The 18,468-nt window shown below is 37.0% G+C and overlaps 1 protein-coding gene across 17 annotated transcripts in view; it reads right to left on the bottom strand.

The window, feature by feature from the left end:
* The window catches only part of CCSER2 (coiled-coil serine rich protein 2), a 189,929-nt gene that overhangs the window by 64,328 nt on the left and 107,133 nt on the right, over positions 1 to 18,468 (bottom strand). For 14 of the 17 annotated variants that reach the window (NM_001351290.2, XM_005269905.5, NM_001351292.2 and 11 more), the window contains one exon: positions 15,483 to 15,678. The exons of 2 other annotated variants lie outside the window; for them this stretch is intronic. In NM_001351290.2, the coding sequence (NP_001338219.1) occupies positions 15,483 to 15,678 (196 nt within the window). Of the gene's footprint in view, positions 1 to 15,482; positions 15,679 to 15,823; positions 15,909 to 18,468 lie in introns of those variants that run through there. One more of the 17 variants, XM_011539872.3, reaches the window with a different exon arrangement.

Below are 18,468 nucleotides of genomic sequence, written 5' to 3'. Positions count from 1 at the left end.
TCCCAAGGATTGCTGGTAACCATTAGAAGGTAGAAGAAACGCAAGTTTCTCTTACAGAGCCTTCAGACAGAGAAAAGCCCTGATGACAACGCCTTGGTTTTGGATTTCTAGCCTCCAGAACTATGACAGAATAAACTTCTATTGATGTAAGCCTCCAAGGTGTGGTAATCTGTTATGGCAGCTCTAAAAAACTAAGATAAGATTTGATCAAAAAACAGCTAAAAGCAAGTAAAAAGGAGAGAGAAACACCAGATAAATCTCAACAATCACACCCACAAAAAGCTGAAATAGCAATATTATTGTAACACGAGAAGCAGGGTACCATTAAAGAAGGAAAGTATTAATAAAGATAAACAAAGAATTCTAATTAGTAATCAGAGGACCAATCTGCCAAGAAGATGTACCAATCATAAACATGTATATACCTGATACAATAGCCTGAAAATACTACAACAAAAATGGACAGCATTAAAAGGAGAAACTGAGACATCTGTAATTATAGCAGGAGATTAACACTACTCTCAGAAATTCACACATCAAAGGCAAAAATTTAGTAAGGATAAGCAAGATATAAATAGTACAATTAACAAGCCTGATATAATAGACATACTGCTACCTAAGATACAGAAAATATATATTCCATTCAAACGAACAGAGCCATCATAAAAACTGACCACGCTGTTGGCGAGAGATTAACAAACTACGGTTCACAGGACAAATCTGGCCAGCTGCCTCTTTTTACTACAGTTAAGAAAGCTTTCACATTTTTAAATGGTCGCATTTGAAATGTTTTATCTACATAATAGCCTCAATTTTGTGTCTTGCCCAAAATGGCTAAAATATTTACTACGTGATCTTCTAAAGAAAAGTTTTCCAAACTCTGTTCTAGCCCACAAAGAAAACATTAACACCTTCCAAAGAACTTATATCATAGAAATATATTGTTCTGATCAATTTAAAAATTAGAAATTAGAAATAAATTAAGTGAAAGCCCCATATACCAAGTCATTATTTTTGAAAACTGAAAAAAAAAATGAAATAAAATAAATGCATGGGACAGCCCAAGACAACTAGGAGTTACTAGTGTTTAAGTTATTAATATGCTTCAAAAAATTCTGCTCCTTTTTATTAAACAGTCTAGCAGTCCAGATTTTAGGAGATCAAAAAGATAAAAAAGCTATTATTTCCATTAAAGCACAAGAGCCTTAAAGATTAGGAATATAACAACAACTGAATCAAATAATAACCACCCTCCTAATAACTCTGACACTAACCAATGGTTAGTACTCTCTATTAATCCTTGACTAAAAGGAAAGTGCCCAGGCCAAAATTAGGAAACATTTGGTGGGGGGAGGGGGGCGGCGGGGATCATAAAATAGAAAACATACTCTTTCTAAAAAATACTGAAGAAATAACTTCATGCATTCAATTTTCATGTTTCACATTATACATACTAAAGAGCTAACATTTATTGACCAGTGCTGGGTACTGTTCCAAGTGTTTTGCATAAACATATTTAATAAATGCACAGGAGCAAAAATAGTACAAAAAATCCATAGCAACTGAACAAAAAATAAGTAATTCACAGTTAACCAACTGTCTAGGAATTCTGGACTGCTTTACTAGGTGAAATGTTTTAGCAGTCTCTACAGTTTCTAGTTAGAATTTCTGAACTCTGAATGCAATTAGGATGCTAATACATTATCAGCATTTTATTAAAGATGGATAAACCTTCCTCTATTCTCAAAGCATTAGAGGACTATTGTCAGCAAACCATCTTCCACTCTTCTTTTTTGACACATCACAATGGCAAACTTTTGTTCTAATACTATAATTCTTCCACATGTTAACTTGCTGAAAACCCTGTAACAAACTCCATCTTACCCAGGTGATTCTTCCATGAGTTTGCAAAAACTGAGATCTTCCTGTGAGTTCCAGAGCAGCTGCAATGGACATGGATACTTGAAATGACTAACAAAAACGTTTAGCAGCACTGACAAATCCCTACTAACAAGCATCATCAGTGATGTCAACAAAGCTGCCTTGTGTTTCAGATATGCTACAACACAATGACAAGAGGCATCCTAGGAAAGGGAGCAGAGGAAGAGGACAGAGACATTTTCTTTCTTTTCTTTTTGTAAGTTTTTTTTCTTTTTTAAATACAAAGGTATATAGATGAACAATCACATCACATCACACAGTCCAGAATGTGCACTACAAATAATTTTTGAGTAATACTGTAAAATTCAACAGTGGGATTTAAAATCTACTAATTCAAGCTACATTTGAGAGGATTTTAAAAACACTGACTTATAAAATCTGATTTTAATAAGCGCTTTAGAGGTGAAGTGATCCTCACAGATGGTCAGGGCAAAGACACTTTGAAATAAAAAACATATCTATCTGGCATCCAAGTTAACTGGAATGTTGTTATATATAAATAGAACCTTTATAATATTCTAAGCAAATAGTATTTACAAATTTTTTCTGTTTAAATTTTTTATTGAACCTACACATTTACATATCTGTTACGTCTGTACATATCTGAACCCAGATATCCCTTCCTGTAGGTTTGTTTTGGCACTTAAAGATATTCCTAATTTCTACTAATTTTTCTAGATTTTGGTTTTTAAAAAATATCCAACTCCTCAAGCCATCTGTGTTCTGCTACAGTATAAGAAACTAAGTTTTCCTAAACTAATAAATTTTCCTCAGTAACTTTTGCATAAACTCTTTCTATATGCAGGTGGACGCAACGGCACGTGCCTGTAGTCCCAGCTACTTGGGAGGCCAAAGCAGGAGGATCATTCGAAGCCAGAAGTTTGAGGCTGCAGTACTTTATGATCACACCTGTGAGTAGTCACTGCACTCCAGCACAGGCAACACAGCAAGACCCTGTTCTTTAAAAAAAAAAACAAAAAACAAAAAAAAAAAACCCAACCAACCAAAAAAAAAACCTTTCTATAGCCAATTATTTTTTACTAAATACATCAGCACATATTTCTATGTTTCCTATTCTCTTTCATTGCTCTATGTGTTGTGTCTATTTGTGTCAGTATTATACCCTGCTCTAAAGGGTTTTTTCCCCTTTCTCCTTTTCAATGTACACAAATCTTATCCTTTGATGTTTCCAATTTTGGAGTCATTTTGATAAATTCCAAAAACAAAGCTGTTATGATTTTGGCTGAAACTGTATTAAATCTGTAAATCGTACTGAGAAAAACTGTAGATACACACCATACACTCAAATTGTATTTTGTACAATCTTTATACAACACACAATTTATTATACACTCAGATTGTATCTTACACAATCTTTTTATAACACCTAATTTGTTACCCTTTGCAACACATCATTCTCATAATTATTTAATTTAATACATGTATATTCCCCTAGACTATAAGCTAGCTATCTTGATTACTACTTTAATATCTGTAGCATTTATAATATTTGGTCTTCCCACAGAACGTAAATGGTTTCTACAAAGTTTCTCAGGTTTTTAAAAATAAAACATCACAAATGTCTCTCAGTAAATTTATTGATAATTTCATGTTTTATTGATGCAGTGATAGCTGCCTTATTTACTACTGAAGTCCCAGCTCTATGATTTATTGGCCTTGGAGTCTTGAGCATAGTATTGTTTATCTACTAGAACAGAGTTTTCTATTTTGGGGGGTGGGGACACTGATCCACAATAAAAATACATTTTATAACACAACCAAGTACATATATACATGAATAGGTATGCATTTACATGTGTATGCACATATCCATGTGTGTAATATAGGGAGATATACATATATTTCTCTCACTAAAAACAAATTTCATGAAAAAGTATTTGTCCTTATTACGTGTGATGTCCTTTTGATAGTTTTATACTGTTTTACTTCATTACCAAAAATTCTAGTCATGATGAAAATTCATTTTAAGACCCACTAACCGGTTTTAACCTATAGTTTTCGAACAATGTACTGGGTACAGGTTAAAAACTGTGTCCTCTTTATTTTTATCTCCATTACTACCATGATCCTTGGTATGGACAGAATAATAATAAACAAACACAGGTATTGAAGTAAATAAAATTAGCTTTCTGGGCAGCTACATAAAATTGTGAGCAATTAAAAACCCTTGACTTTCATGTTACTATGAAACATGTTGTTGCTATTATTAACTGCTAACATGCATTAACTGCATTACATGTATCAGGTTATGCTGAAACATCAGCATACTATGCTTAGCATTTTAGAATACTATCAGCATAGTATGCTTAGCATTTTAAGATACTATGGATGATACTATGTTAGCAATTTAATGTGTTTTTTGTTTGTTTGTTTTGTTTTTGAGACGGAGTTTTGCTCTTGTTGCCCAGGCTGGAGTGCAATGGCGCGATCTCAGCTCACCGCAACCTCTGCCTCCTGGGTTCAAGCAATTCTCCTGTCTCAGCCTCCTGATCATTACAGGCATGCGCCACCACGCTCAGCTAATTTTGTATTTTTACTAGAGACGGGGTTTCTTCATGTTGATCAGGCTGGTCTCGAACTCCCAACCACAGGTGATCTGCCCACCTTGGCCTCCCAAAGTGCTGGGATTATACAGGCATGAGCCACCGCCCCCAGCCCTACGTTAGCATTTTATGGGAATTGCCTCATGCATTCTTCACAACAGTCCTGAAGTAAGAGCTATTACATTCTATTATCTTTTCTAGGAAACTGCAGCACAGAGAGTTTAAGCAACTTTTCCAACATCGTACAAGTAGGAAAATTTGCCTGAACCCAAAACTCCACCTTGGAATTGTCTATTCTGATTTTTTTCTTGAGACAGACTCTTACTCTGTTGCCCAGGCTGGAGTGCACTGGTATGATCTCAGCTCGCTGCAACCTCTGCCTCCCGTGTTCAAGTGATCCTCCCGCCTCAGCCTCCCAAGTAGCTGGGACTACAGGCACACGCCACCATGCCTGGCTAATTTTTGTATTTTTAGTAGAAATGGGGTTTCGCCATTTTGGCCAGGCTGGTCTTGAACTCCTGACCCCAGGTGATCCACCTACCTCGGCCTCCCAAATTGCTGGGATTACAGGCATGGGCCACCGCGCCTGGCCTGATTTTTCTTAATTACATTTATTCCTATTAACTTTCATCATTGAAACGTAGAGATTCAGCATTATCCCAATTATTCCACAACTAAAAACAACCTGAATGTCTATCAACAGATAAATTGATAAAAGTCAAATTGTGGTACATATATGTAGAATGGAGTCTACTCAGCAATAAAAAGAAATGAACTACTGATACTAGCAAAACACAGATGAATATCAAAACCATTAAGGCGAGTAAAAAAATTCAGAAACAAAAAGAGTACACAACAAATGGTTCCATTTTGATGAAATTCTAAGAAAGATAAAACTTTAGAACCAAAAGCAGAATAGTGGTTGCCTGGGCCGGGTTTGAGAAAGAACTGACTGCAAAGGGAAATGAAGGAACTTTATCAGTACAGAAATGGTCTATATCTTGAATGTGGTGGTAATTACACAATTGCATATATTCATCAAAACAAACTGTACACTTAAAATGGGTGCAGTTTATTTGAATGTACATTCTGTCTCAATAAAGTTGATACTTTTTTTAAATTCTCCTCTTCACCTTCCTATTCCTTTCTTAACAAGCCATTAGGTAAGTCAGAGCAAAATAGGTTTCCACCCCAAAAGCCCAGCAGGAAGTTTCAGAGCCTAAGTAGGTTGAAAGAGCATGTCTCCATAGGGAGGCAGCTTACCAATATATGCCATATCCCAAAAGGAGTGAAAACAGTATCCATGAGGGGTGGGGAAACAGCTTGATATTAGAGTCAAACTTAAGTGGAAAGAATAGAGTGTATGTGCATAATCAGCAGCCTGGCATGGGCTATCAGAGTCAAAGAAGAGTGAGGTGAATATCCACACACAGGATGGCCTGGCAAAGACTGCCAGAGCTCAGGCATGACAATGAGTAAAGGGCTCAATGCCAGGTTTCAGATCCAAAATGGGTAAGGAGGGCATCCATGCGTAGACTCAACTGATGTGCAGTGTCAGGCCAAGCAGAGTGAGAAGGCGTCCATCTGGAGATGGGGATTGGTGTGGAGTATCAGAGTCCAATGGGCTGACAAGCAGTCAGAGCTGGAGTAGTATGAGAAAAGGGTACACGGAAGAGTGGGAGCAGCCATGCATAAGGATTCAGAATCTTAGCAGGATAACAAAAATAGCCGGGTATGGTGGGGCATACCTATAGTCCCAGCTACTTGGGAGGATCGGTTGAGCCCAGGAGGTCGAGGCTGCAGTAAGCCGACACTGCACCACTGCCCAGCCTGGGTGACACAGCAACACTCTGCTGCAAAAAACAAAACAAAACAAAAGAAACGAACTCTTCACACTTTAAGCCCTGAATCCATCCACTGATCACCCACAGATAAAAACAAATAAAAGTGGACCTCTACCTCATACTTTAAATGCACCAAAATCAATTCCAAGTTATTTGAGATTTAATTGTGAAGGTCAAAATTCTTAATTTTTTAGAAAAGAATAGAATATTTTTATGGCCTCAGAGCAAGAAAGGATTTTCAAACAAGGATTTCTAAAAGTGCAAACCACAAAGAAAAAAGTCTGATAAATTCACTGTATTAAAACCAAGAACTTTTTTTCATCAAAGGATATCAGACAGTGAAAAAACACTCTACACAATGGAAGATAATATTTGCAACACATATAACTAACAAAGTACTTGCATCTAGAATATACAAAAATCTCGCTCTCATACACACAAAACATATGATCGGGCAACAAACATTCCATAAACATACAAAAAGGTTCAACTTTATTAGCAATCAGGGAAATGTAAATTAAAACCACAATTAAATGTCACTATATTCTATCCATATGACACAAATTCGTAAGTTGGGTATTATCAAGTTTGCACACATGTGAAACAATGAAAAACAACATCTACTACTTGAGGGGAGTAAAAAAGACTGAACTACTTTGGAAAACAGTTTGGTTTTTCTAGGGTAAACTATTTCCATGCTTCAGGACTCAGAAATTCCAATTCTAATTAGATACTTCAGAGGAACTTTCTCACGGTTGTACCGGGAAAATGTTCATAGGAATATTATTTGTCAGAGTCAAAAAAAAAAAAACTGGAAACAAACAAAATGGACATCAAGAGTAAAACAGACAAAGATATTATGTTTCGTTCATAGATTGGAGCACCAATAGAGAAATGAAAATTAATGAAGTAGAGCCAAACATGAATGAACCTTAAAAAAAAGTTGAATGAAAGAAGCCATAGAGGAATACTCACATTATAATTTCACTTATATAAAGTTAAAAAAGAGGCAAACCTTATATTCACGGAAATACAAACACAGATGGTAAAAATGAGAGGAAAAACAAGGGAAAACTCTAGGTTCTGGAAAGGAAAGGTACTGCAATCAGGAAGGAGCATACAGGGAGCTTATTAATGTCTTATTTCTTAATCTGGGTGGGTAAGAGTACAAGCTCCTTCACATTCTAAGTTAAACTGAACCCTTATGTTGTATATATTCTTATTATGAATATTTCATAAACTCCTTTTTTTCCTGGAGTGATGAGAGAAATATGGGGATAGGGAAACAGGCATGCTCTGGCTCTTCTTTGGTTCTTTGCTACCAAGTGGAAATCATTCAGTAGCCTCTTAGCTCTTGGTGAACCCCACTTAGGATGATGCCACTAACATTCCACCACCTACCACTGCCACTACACCCACTGCCCCCACACACAGTGAATCGGAGAATTATGTGAGGGAAAAATTATTGGTTTTATTCTCAACGTTGGAGGGGAGGGAATAATGAAACTAAACATTTGTATATCACATTTGACAGTTCATAAAATACTATTATATACTCCTTTATTTTTATCCCCAAAACAAGCATCCTGAAGTAGACATAATATAAATCATAGGAATCAAATATTTTGCAATGCAAATAAAATGTTAGGAAGAGGTATCATCATGCCTTTCCATTACTCCATCTTAAATTCTTCATTTCTTATTGCAAGGTCAAAACAGATGATGACTGTGATATGATAAGAGCAAACAAAAAATAATGAAAAGAAATGAGAAAGGGAAAGAGTGGGTAGGTATAACTACTTTAGAAAACCTTTGTAGTATCTACTAAAGCTGAATATTTACCCAACTTATAATTAACCCAGCAATCCCACTTACAGGTATAAATACAATAAAAATGCATACATATGTTCACCAAAAGACACATACTAGAATACAGCAGCAAAACTGTTCATAATAAACAACAAAAAAGGAAACCTGTCCAAATATCTATTATAGAACAAATGAAATAAACTGTGCCATATTAACACAATGGAATACTCTACAGCAATGAGAATGATGCAGAAAATGGATGACTCATGAATATAATATTAAGCAAAAGAAGCCAGATATAAAACAAGTATATCCTATATTATTTCATTTCATTTCAAAGTTCAAATACAGACAAATTCATCTATATTTTCAGAAATCCATTGGCCACCATGAGAATGGGCAAGCAGAGGATTCTGTTCTGGTAATGTTTCATTTCTTGCTAGATGCTGGCTACACAGGTATTTTCAGTTTCTGAAAATTCATTAAGATAAATACTTATTAATTATACCCTTTTCTGTATGTATATTACACTTTGTTAAGAAGTTTTTGAAACAGGGTATAGAGACTTAAAGAGATACCGGCCAGGTGCGGTGGCTCACGCCTGTAATCCCAGCACTTTGGGAGGCCAAGGCGGGTGGATCACAAGGTCAGGAGATCGAGGTCATCCTGGCTAACATGGTGAAACCCCGTCTCTTCTAAAAGTACAAAAAATTAGCTGGGCGTGGTGGCGGGCGCCTGTAGTCCCAGCTACTCAGGAGGCTGAGGCAGAAGAATGGTGTGAGCCCAGGAGGCGGAGCTTGCAGTGAGCCGAGACTGCACCACTGCACTCCAGCCTGGGCGACAGAGCAAGACTCCAACTCAGAAAAAAAAAGAGAGAGACAAGATACCACAAAAAAACTATCTTTTTCATCATGTCCCCACGTTCTTCATGTCAGGGTCAAAATTCTTATTCAAAATTTCTAAATCAGGCAATAAACTATACAGAGGTATTAAGCTAAAATAATTAAAAAGCCCTGAGTTTAAAATGCACTCTACATTAATATGCAACTGGGTGATCTTGCAAAGCACAATTAAATTTCAGTCTTAGTTTTCTGACCATTAAAATGGAATTACTACTGTTGTCATTCTTATCCCATAATGATGTTGTGATGAGTAGAATGAGGTACACAAAAGAGATGCTTAAACTATAAAGTAATCTTAATTTGAGTAAAACCACAAATAAAAGATCAAAGGCCAAATATAATGGTTTACAATTTTTTAAAATTTTGTGTGCAGGGAGAACTTTTTTCAAGTGAACTCTTAAACAGTACTATTTAATAAAACAAAGATTCCTTTGCTTGGGTTTGGCTAAGGGGACACAGAATGATGGTAGAATTAGTGTTGTATGTTTCCTTCACACTCTCTTCTCCCTGCTGTCCCTCAAGGTATCTTCTAGAACACCACTGTGTGCAACAGGCCTTGGAGTCATATAGATTAGGGTTAAAAAAAAATCCTGGTTGTATCACTAATTAGTTTTCTGAGCCTCACCCTTTCCAGCTATGAGGGTGAAGCCAATATTACCTACTTTTCAGACTAGAGATAATGTATATCAGAGAACCTAGAAGAATGTCCAAATAAATTTAACGACTTTAGCCTAAAATTTGAATGGATGCAACAGCCTCCTAAATATTATGACTTAAGTCACTCCCTCTGCTATTCATTTTCTACATATCCCTTACAGTAATTTTTTTAAAAAAATAACAATTTGGCCAAGTCGCTTGTTTGGCTTACTACTACCAACAGAACAATGCCCCAGCTACCTTTATGGCACACAAGGTCCTTGACAACCTGCCCTAAATCTATCTATGTCTTCTGCCTCTTCTCTAGCATCCTACATTTTTTTTTTATTATTATTATACTTTAACTTCTGGGATACATGTGCAGAATGTGCAGGTTTGTTACACTGGTATACATGTGCCATAGCGGTTTGCTACACCCATTGACCTGTCATCTACGTTAGGTATTTCTCCTAATGCTATCCTCCCCCAGCCCCCTACCCCCCGACAGGCCCTGGTGTGTGATGTTCCCCTCCCTGTGTCCATGTGTTCTCACTGTTAAACTCCCACTTATGAGTAAGAACATGCAGTGTTTGGTTTTCTGTTCCAGTATTAGCTTGCTAAGAATGATGGTTTCCAGCTCTATCTATGTCCCTGCAAAGGACATGAACTCATCCTTTTTTGTGGCTGCACAGTATTCCATGGTGTATATATGCCACATTTTCTTTATCCAGTCTATCATTGATGGGCATGTGGGCTGGTTCCAAGTCTTTGCTATTGTGAACAGTGCTGCAATAAACATACGTGTGCATGTGTCTTTATAGTAAAATGATTTATAATCCTTTGGGTATATAACCAGTAATGGGATTGCGGGATCAAATGGTATTTCTGGTTCTAGATCCTTGAGGAATCGCTACACTGTCTTCCACAATGGTTGAACTAATTTACACTCCCACCAACAGTGTAAAAGTGTTCCTATTTCTCCACATCCTCTCCAGCACCTGTTGTCTCCTGACTTTTAATGATCGCCATTTTAACTGGCATGAGATGGTATCTCATTGTGGTTTTAATTTGCATTTCTTTAATGACCAGTGATGATGAGCTTTTTTTCATGTTTGTTGGCTGCATAATTGTCTTCTTTCGAGAAGTGTCTGTTCATATCCTTTGCCCACTTTTTGATGGGGTTGTTTTTTTTCTTGTAAATCTGTTTAAGTTCCTTGTAGATTCTGGATATTAGACCTTTGTCAGATGGACAGATTGCAAAAATTTTCTCCCATTCTCTAGGTTGCCTCTTCACTCTGATGGTAGTTTCTTTTGCTGTGCAGAAGTTCTTTAGTTTAATTAGATCCCATTTGTCAATTTTGGCTTTTGCTGCCATCGCTTTTGGTGTTTTAGTCGTGATGTCTTTGCCCATGTCTATGTCCTGAATGGTATTTCCTAGGTTTTCTTCTAGAGTTTTTAAGGTTTTAGGTCTTATAATTAAGTCTTTAATCCATCTCGAGTTAATTTTTGTATAAGGTGTAAGGAAGGGGTCCAGTTTCAGTTTTCTGCATATGGCTAGCCAGTTTTCCCAACACCATTTATTAAATAGGGAATCCTTTCCCCATTGCTTGTTTTTGTCAGGTTTGTCAAAGGTCAGATGGTTGTAAATGTGTGTAAATGTAAATGTGTGGCATTATTTCTGTTCTGTTCCATTGGTCTATATATCTGTTTTGGTACCAGCACCATGCTGTTTTGGTTACTGTAGCCTTGTAATATAGTTTGGAGTCAGGCAGTGTGAGCATACTACATTTTTAACATATCCAGTTAATTAACTGATCACTGGATAAGGCACATACCTTTTAAAAAACCTTTTCTTCCCCCCAGAAACAATAATTCGTGGAGAATTAGAAATGAGAAAAGAGATTTTTTAAAAAACACACAAAAAAGAAATTACATTCTTACCATCCAGGAATCATCACTAGTAACACCTTAGAGCATATCCCTCTGGAGAAATATACAGATGTAGATATAGATAGATAAATGATCATAATATACATACAGCCTTATAACCTACTTTTTTCAGTCAACAATCTCCCCTTTCCATTTTAGTAAATTTCCATCTCATCTAATATACAGCCTATGTTCAAATTTCCCCAACTAATCCAAGATGTCCTTTATAGCTGATCTGTCCAAATCAATATACAATTCAAAATTTCACACTGTATCTACTTGTCCTTTACATTTTTTTTAATGTAGCACCATCACCTTCCCCCACCATCTTTTTAGGACACTAAGAAGCCAAAGAGATCTCAACTTTTCTTACTGAATGTCCAACCTTCTGAATTTGTCTTGTTCTCATTATCACCCATTTTGCCAGAAAGAGAAAAACATACATTTATGACCCCTTAAGGTTAAAAATGTGGGAATGAATTGAAAGTCTGTGTAAGAAACTAACATTTGGCTAGGCGTGGTGGTTCACGCCTGTAATCCCAGCACTTTGGGAGGCCGAGGTGGGCAGATCACAAGGTCAGGAGATCGAGACCCTTGTGGCTAACATGGTGAAACCCTGTCTCTACTAAAAATATAAGAAATTAGCCGGGCGTGGTGGTGGGCGCCTGTAGTCCCAGCTACTAGGGAGGCTGAGGCAGGAGAATGGCGTGAACCCAGGAGGTGGAGTTTGCAGTGAGCCGAGATCGCGCCACTGCACTCCAGCCTGAGAGACAGCGAGACTTCGTCTCAAAAAAAAAAAAAAAAAAAAAAAAAAAAAAAAAAAAAAAACATTTTCCCAGTCTTCTACTTTATTCCCAGCATAAAATCAGGTTTCTTCTTTGGATAAATTACAACCACCTCTGAAGGAAAAAACCTTCACTCAGTAGATGCTGAGGGTCCACTGATATCCACACAATGCCATAAAGTAAAACCAGCCAGTTGACAGGCATGGCCATGTACAAAGTCCTGAATAAACAACAAAGAATCATTATAAATTTGAATAAATATTCCAGAAGAAAGAGAAATCAAAATAAGCATAAAAAACAAAATGACCATTTAAAAAGAGAAAGAATACAGGGAACCAAAGAATTCTCAATAAAATGAAACAAAACAAACAGAAACTCTCTACTTACCATAGTTCCTGAAAAAACAGTTGAATGATATGAATAAGGAATAGTACACACAAAAGTTCTTGGAAATTGAAAATATGATTGCCAAGATAAACAGTTAAATAAAAACAGACAGCTGGAATATCAAGTCGAGAAAATATACCAGGAAACATAACCAAACCCAAAGAAAAAGAAAAACGTATAACAAAAAATAAAAAGGTAAGGAGATTCAATTCAGAAATTCTAGTTTCTGATTACTAAAGATTCCAGAAAGATAACAGATAAAATAAAGGAAAGAGAATAATCACAGAAATAACAAGAACATTTCACACTACATTAATCTCCAAAGAGCCTACTAAATGCCAAAACATCAAGTGGAAACCAACCAACCAACTACAACAAAACTCAAGTCCAAGGACATTACTGTGAAACTGCAGAATGCTAGAAATAAAAGATTAAAAATATTCCAGAGATAAAAACAGGCAAAACACAATGTACAATGGATCAGAATGTAGTAGACTGTTCAACGGCTAAATAAGATCCTAGAAAAGCAATGCCCTCAAATTTCTAAGGGAAAACTCTCTTCTATTACAACGAAACTATTTCATACCAACCAAACTTATTAATATCAATCAAATGTGAGACCAGGATAAAGAGATTTTCAGTAATGAAGTAACTAAAACAGTGTGCCATTCATTAATCCTCTCTTAGGAAGTAAATTAAAGATATATTCCAGCAAAGTGAGAGAATAAACTAGGAAGAAAGAAGACATGCTATCGAAAGAATGGATCCAGTCCCAGATTATGGCAAAAGTAAGTCCCTGCATGACAGCTCTAGAGAAGCTTTGGACAGTAACCTGTTCAGATGAGAACAGGTTGACTGAGGTGGGGAGGGGGCCAGACATACTGTTTTTTTCATTAAGCCTTCGAATAGTGTATGAATTTTTTTGAAAACTATATATACGTATCACATTGTTTTTTTTAAATTCAGTCACATTAGAAACAAATTTAAAGAGGCAATGACATGAAATTTTGAACTCAGTCATCTTTTAACTTCTATTAGCATTTGGGAAACTTTAAAGATGACCTACAAAGATTTTGCAATTTTCTTCTCATAATTTTGCTGTCATCACATAAACAAAAAATAAAGTCAATTTTACCCGTGTGTAGTACCTAAGAGTTCAGAGGCCATAATGACAGAAAAGAACCATTAAGAGATTTACAACTTTACACAAAGAACCTCAAAAAACACTTTTTTATTTTTATGGTACCAATCATTGGTTACCAATTCACCTACTACTACCTGAATTATGCTACTTTTTTCATTATTAGAAGTGGCCTGGTCTTATTAGCTGCTATTTAGTCATGCTTCATGATTCAGGGCAAAACACCCAAACACAAAAGATGGTACGTGGTACAGCTAGTACAATGACTGGCTCACAGTGGATATTTGACATATTTTACCTATTTCCCACCATTCCCTACCACCTCTTCCCTTTGACACTAAAACTCCTAATCAAAAAATCATCTCCCCAGACCAGCCAACAGAAAAACACTATATACCAATGCCTATTTTCTAGTTACAGTTGAACTAGGCTGTAAGCTCAATGTCTGGATAATTCAATCATATAATTTATTTCTGCCTCAAGAGAAGTTAACAATCTCATATCCAAAAAGGATTCTCCACTCTTTTGTTCCTTAGCTCAAAAAAGTTTCTTTTCAAAACAGTAGTCAAATATCCACAAGAATGGAGAGAAGTAGTACAGAAGATCCCTGAGTAACAGAAAACAATTTACCTGACTTTAACAGAATATTTACATTAACCATCATTTCTAACACAGGAGCCAAATTTCACTTCAACTAGCCTTTCGTGTGCATATACTGCATGTTTTGTTTTGATGGCCACCAGGAATTCTAAGACAGAAAGCAAACTGAGCAGCAGAGAGAAGTCAGGCTGTTCTTTCTTAACTGTAGTTTTAAGCTAAAGTTGGCTATTCTACAAAGTACAAATACAGATTTAAAACCAAACGAAAGGTATCTATGACTTAAAATTAGTATTTTATTCCTTGATTTTCTGCTATACATCTGACCTTGTCTGTAAGTGCTAAAACAAAGTAAATACTACTGAATCAGATGCCAGGATCCAACATCAGGTTATCCTGTGGCTTTGGACAAGTGACATCACTGCTATGAGTCTAGATTTTCTCAAAAAAAAAAAAGAAAAGAAAAAAAAAAACAGGAGAAGATTAAACTTGAAGATCCCAAACAAAAACTGAATTATATGACTATCATTATGTAAAGCAAAAATTGTTGTTTCTTATTTGTCACTTAGCTGAAATCATAGTAGCAGCCCACTGAATACTGAATGCCTATGTTTCAGGCATTGGATTAGCCAATTTACAACTATTATTTCTAATTCTCTCAACAACCTTATAATGTAGGTATTATGAAAATGAAGAAACAGAAGCAGAGATTGGCTTACCAAATATCACACAACTCATAAATACCAGGGACTGTGTAATGAGACCCTCATGCAATATCCCACAGGTTTTTTCCACAAAACTTTCTACTATATACTATTTACAAGCATTATTCTACAGAAATCTAAAAAGACATGAGAAACCCAGTAAGTATTTTTTTAAAAAAAACTAAAGTCAATCCATTTTGCAATTCAAAATATCAGAGCTGGAAATGTTCATTATGTACTCACCTGATGCAGGAGACGTTTCAGTTTGAGTAACTGAGTTTTTACAGCAGTGCAATCCTGAACCATGTGCCGAAGGGTCATCTCATCCAGTATCACTGTATTTTCTGGTACATCAACAAACATCTTCTGAGCCTGGAAAAAGGGCATCCCTCCATAGCTTTCAAAATGACCCAAAGGAGATTCTCTATAGGGAGAGCCTCTGGAAGGGCAGGGAAGAAGGTGGAGGGAAAAGATATACAATACAATTTCAGAAAGAAATAAAGATAATGAAATTATTGCAGTGATTATTACAAATCACTTATCATTATCACCATGGCTCTGACTTCCACTCACCTCAGTCACTGATGTGTTTCCACAAAAGGCGCAATCAGCTGTAGTTTATTAAAACAATTATCTTCTGTATCCCCCATCTTTTGTGTATTTTACATACTGGAAGAATAAACCTTCTTTAGGCACCGGAATAGAAACAATACTCTGGAAAGACTTTATGTGAAAAAGTTAAACTTATTCTTCCTTTTCTGCACTGACTGTTGTTCATTAGTTTTTAACTTTGTTTAACTTCTTAAATTGCACACCTTTTTTAGCCCCATAACGATGCTACCAACATTAACTCTCAGTTTGTATACATCCTTGGACTCCCATTTCTTGAAAGTCTCAACAGGCAGTTAAGATGAATTTTTTGTTTTTATATTACTAATAAAGCATATTTTCCAATAAAGGTTACTTAAGCTTTTATAAAAGTTTTATATATACCGCATATTTCCTAATCTTACAGTGCATTAAAAAAATCTACTCTCGGTGAAACCTCATCCCTACTAAAAATACAAAAAATTACCCCAGCATGGTGGCACGTGCCTGTAATCCTAGTTACTTAGGAGGCTAATGCAGGAGAATCCCCTGAACCTGGGAGGCGGAGGTTGCAGTGAGCCAAGATCGCACCACTACACTCCAAGCTGGGCAACAGAGTGAGACTCCGTCTCAAAAAAAAAAAAAAAAAAAACTACTCTAAAATTTTTTACATTTCCCTTCAGTTTCATACAATAACATACATGCTGAATAAGGAAAAAAATAAAAGTAATGTGTTTCATGGGAGTAAAAAGCAAAATATTTTAACCAGAAGTCATAGTTATAGCAATTTAAAAATTGCTACCTTAATTCCAGTTGGTTCTTAAACTGTGAGGAGAACTTTTTTTTTTTGAGACAGAGTCTCGCTCAGTCATCCAGGCTGGAGCGCAATGGTACGATCTTGGCTCATTGTAACCTCTGCCTCCGGAGTTCAAGCGATTCTCCTGCCTCAACCTCCCGAGTAGCTGGGATTACAGGCACCCACCATCATGCCTAATTTTTGTATTTTTGTAGAGAGGGGGTTTCACCATGTTGGCCAGGCTGGTCTTGAACTTCTGACCTCAGGTGATCCACCCGCCTTGGCCTGCCAAAGTTCTGGGATTACAGGTGTGAGCCACCATGCCCGGCCGAGAACTTCTAATATATGTGAAATCGCCCTCGCTGTCTGTCTGTCTCTCTCTGTCTCTCTGTCTCTCTCTCTCTCTCTCTCTCTCTGTGTGTGTGTGTGTGTGTGTATTTGGTTGGCTAGTTAGTAAGTAGAGACGGGTTGCTCAGGCTGGTCTTCAACTTCTAGCAAAATTTCAAGAAATAAGACATTGAAAAAATATTATCTCCAATATAATGGCTATTTTAAAATCAAGATTAAAATTAAATTCATAATGCATTAAATGTGCAAAAATTCCAACGCATTAAATTTCAACCATATTGAAAACGTAGAAATATGGTTTCTACCAAATTTTCTAGCTTTTAACAAATATTCCCACATCTCTGAATTCTCAAATATTCAGTATGAGGTCGATTTTTACAAGATTATTTTTCTCTGAAACTACTTCTCATTAAGTACTTCAGGCCCAACTTTCTTTTAACCCAAGAAAAAGATTTTTAGAAATTTACAAACTGTTGATTTTATGATGCCACAGACAGCCTGAATCCTATTTATTCTTCATCTTCTTCCCTCAACACACCTGCCTCCCGCAGTGACTAGTGACTTCCTTTTTTTTTTTTTTTTTTGAGACGGAGTCTCGCTCTGTCCCCCAGGCTAGAGTGCAGTGGCGCGATCTCGGCTCACTGCAAGCTCCGCCTCGGGGATTCATGCCATTCCTCTGCCTCAGTCTCCCAAGTAGCTGGGACTACAGGTGCCCGCCAGCACGCCGGGCTAATTTTTTGTATTTTTAGTACAGACGGGGTTTTACCGTGTTAGCCAGGATGGTCTCGATTTCCTGACCTCGTGATCCGCCCGCCTCGGCCTCCCAAAGTGCTGGGATGACAGGCTTGAGACACCGCGCCCGGCATTTTTTTTTTTTTTTTTTTTTTTTTTTTGAGACGGAGTCTCGCTCTGTCGCCCAGGCTGGAGTGCAGTGGCGTGATCTCGGCTCACTGCAAGCTCCGCCTCCCGGGTTCACGCCATTCTCCTGCCTCAGCCTCCCGAGTAGCTGGGACTACAAGTAACGCCACCACACTCGGCTAATTTTTTGTATTTTTAGTAGAGACGGGGGTTTCACCATTCACAGGGTGGTCTCGATCTCCTGACCTCGTGATTCGCCCGCCTCGCCCTCCCAAAGTGGTGGGATTACAGGCGTCGGCCACGGCGCCGGGCCCAGAGTGACTTCTTAATTCATACCTAATTACCTGAGATTCCCAAAGCATCCTACAATCTCATCTCCAAACCCACAACCTCTGAGTAGTCTTTGTCAGTCTCTCCATTCTGCCCTCCACTGTGCACACTTGATCTAGATAATTCCTCTTCATCTTAAATCAGCTGACACTACTTCAGAGAACACTTCCTTAAATCCCCTAAGGCAGGACTTGGCACTTCCACAGGTGTTTTTATAGCGACCTGTACTGTGTCCCATTATAGTATTTATTACAGTATACTTTGTTTGCAATTCAGGCCAAATTACAAACTCTATGAAGGAATGAACTG

This window comes from Homo sapiens, chromosome 10, assembly GCF_000001405.40.
Source record: "Homo sapiens chromosome 10, GRCh38.p14 Primary Assembly".
Taxonomy (NCBI): domain Eukaryota; kingdom Metazoa; phylum Chordata; class Mammalia; order Primates; family Hominidae; genus Homo; species Homo sapiens.
Note: the sequence above shows the minus strand (reverse complement) of the source record. Positions and strands in the feature narration are given on the sequence as shown.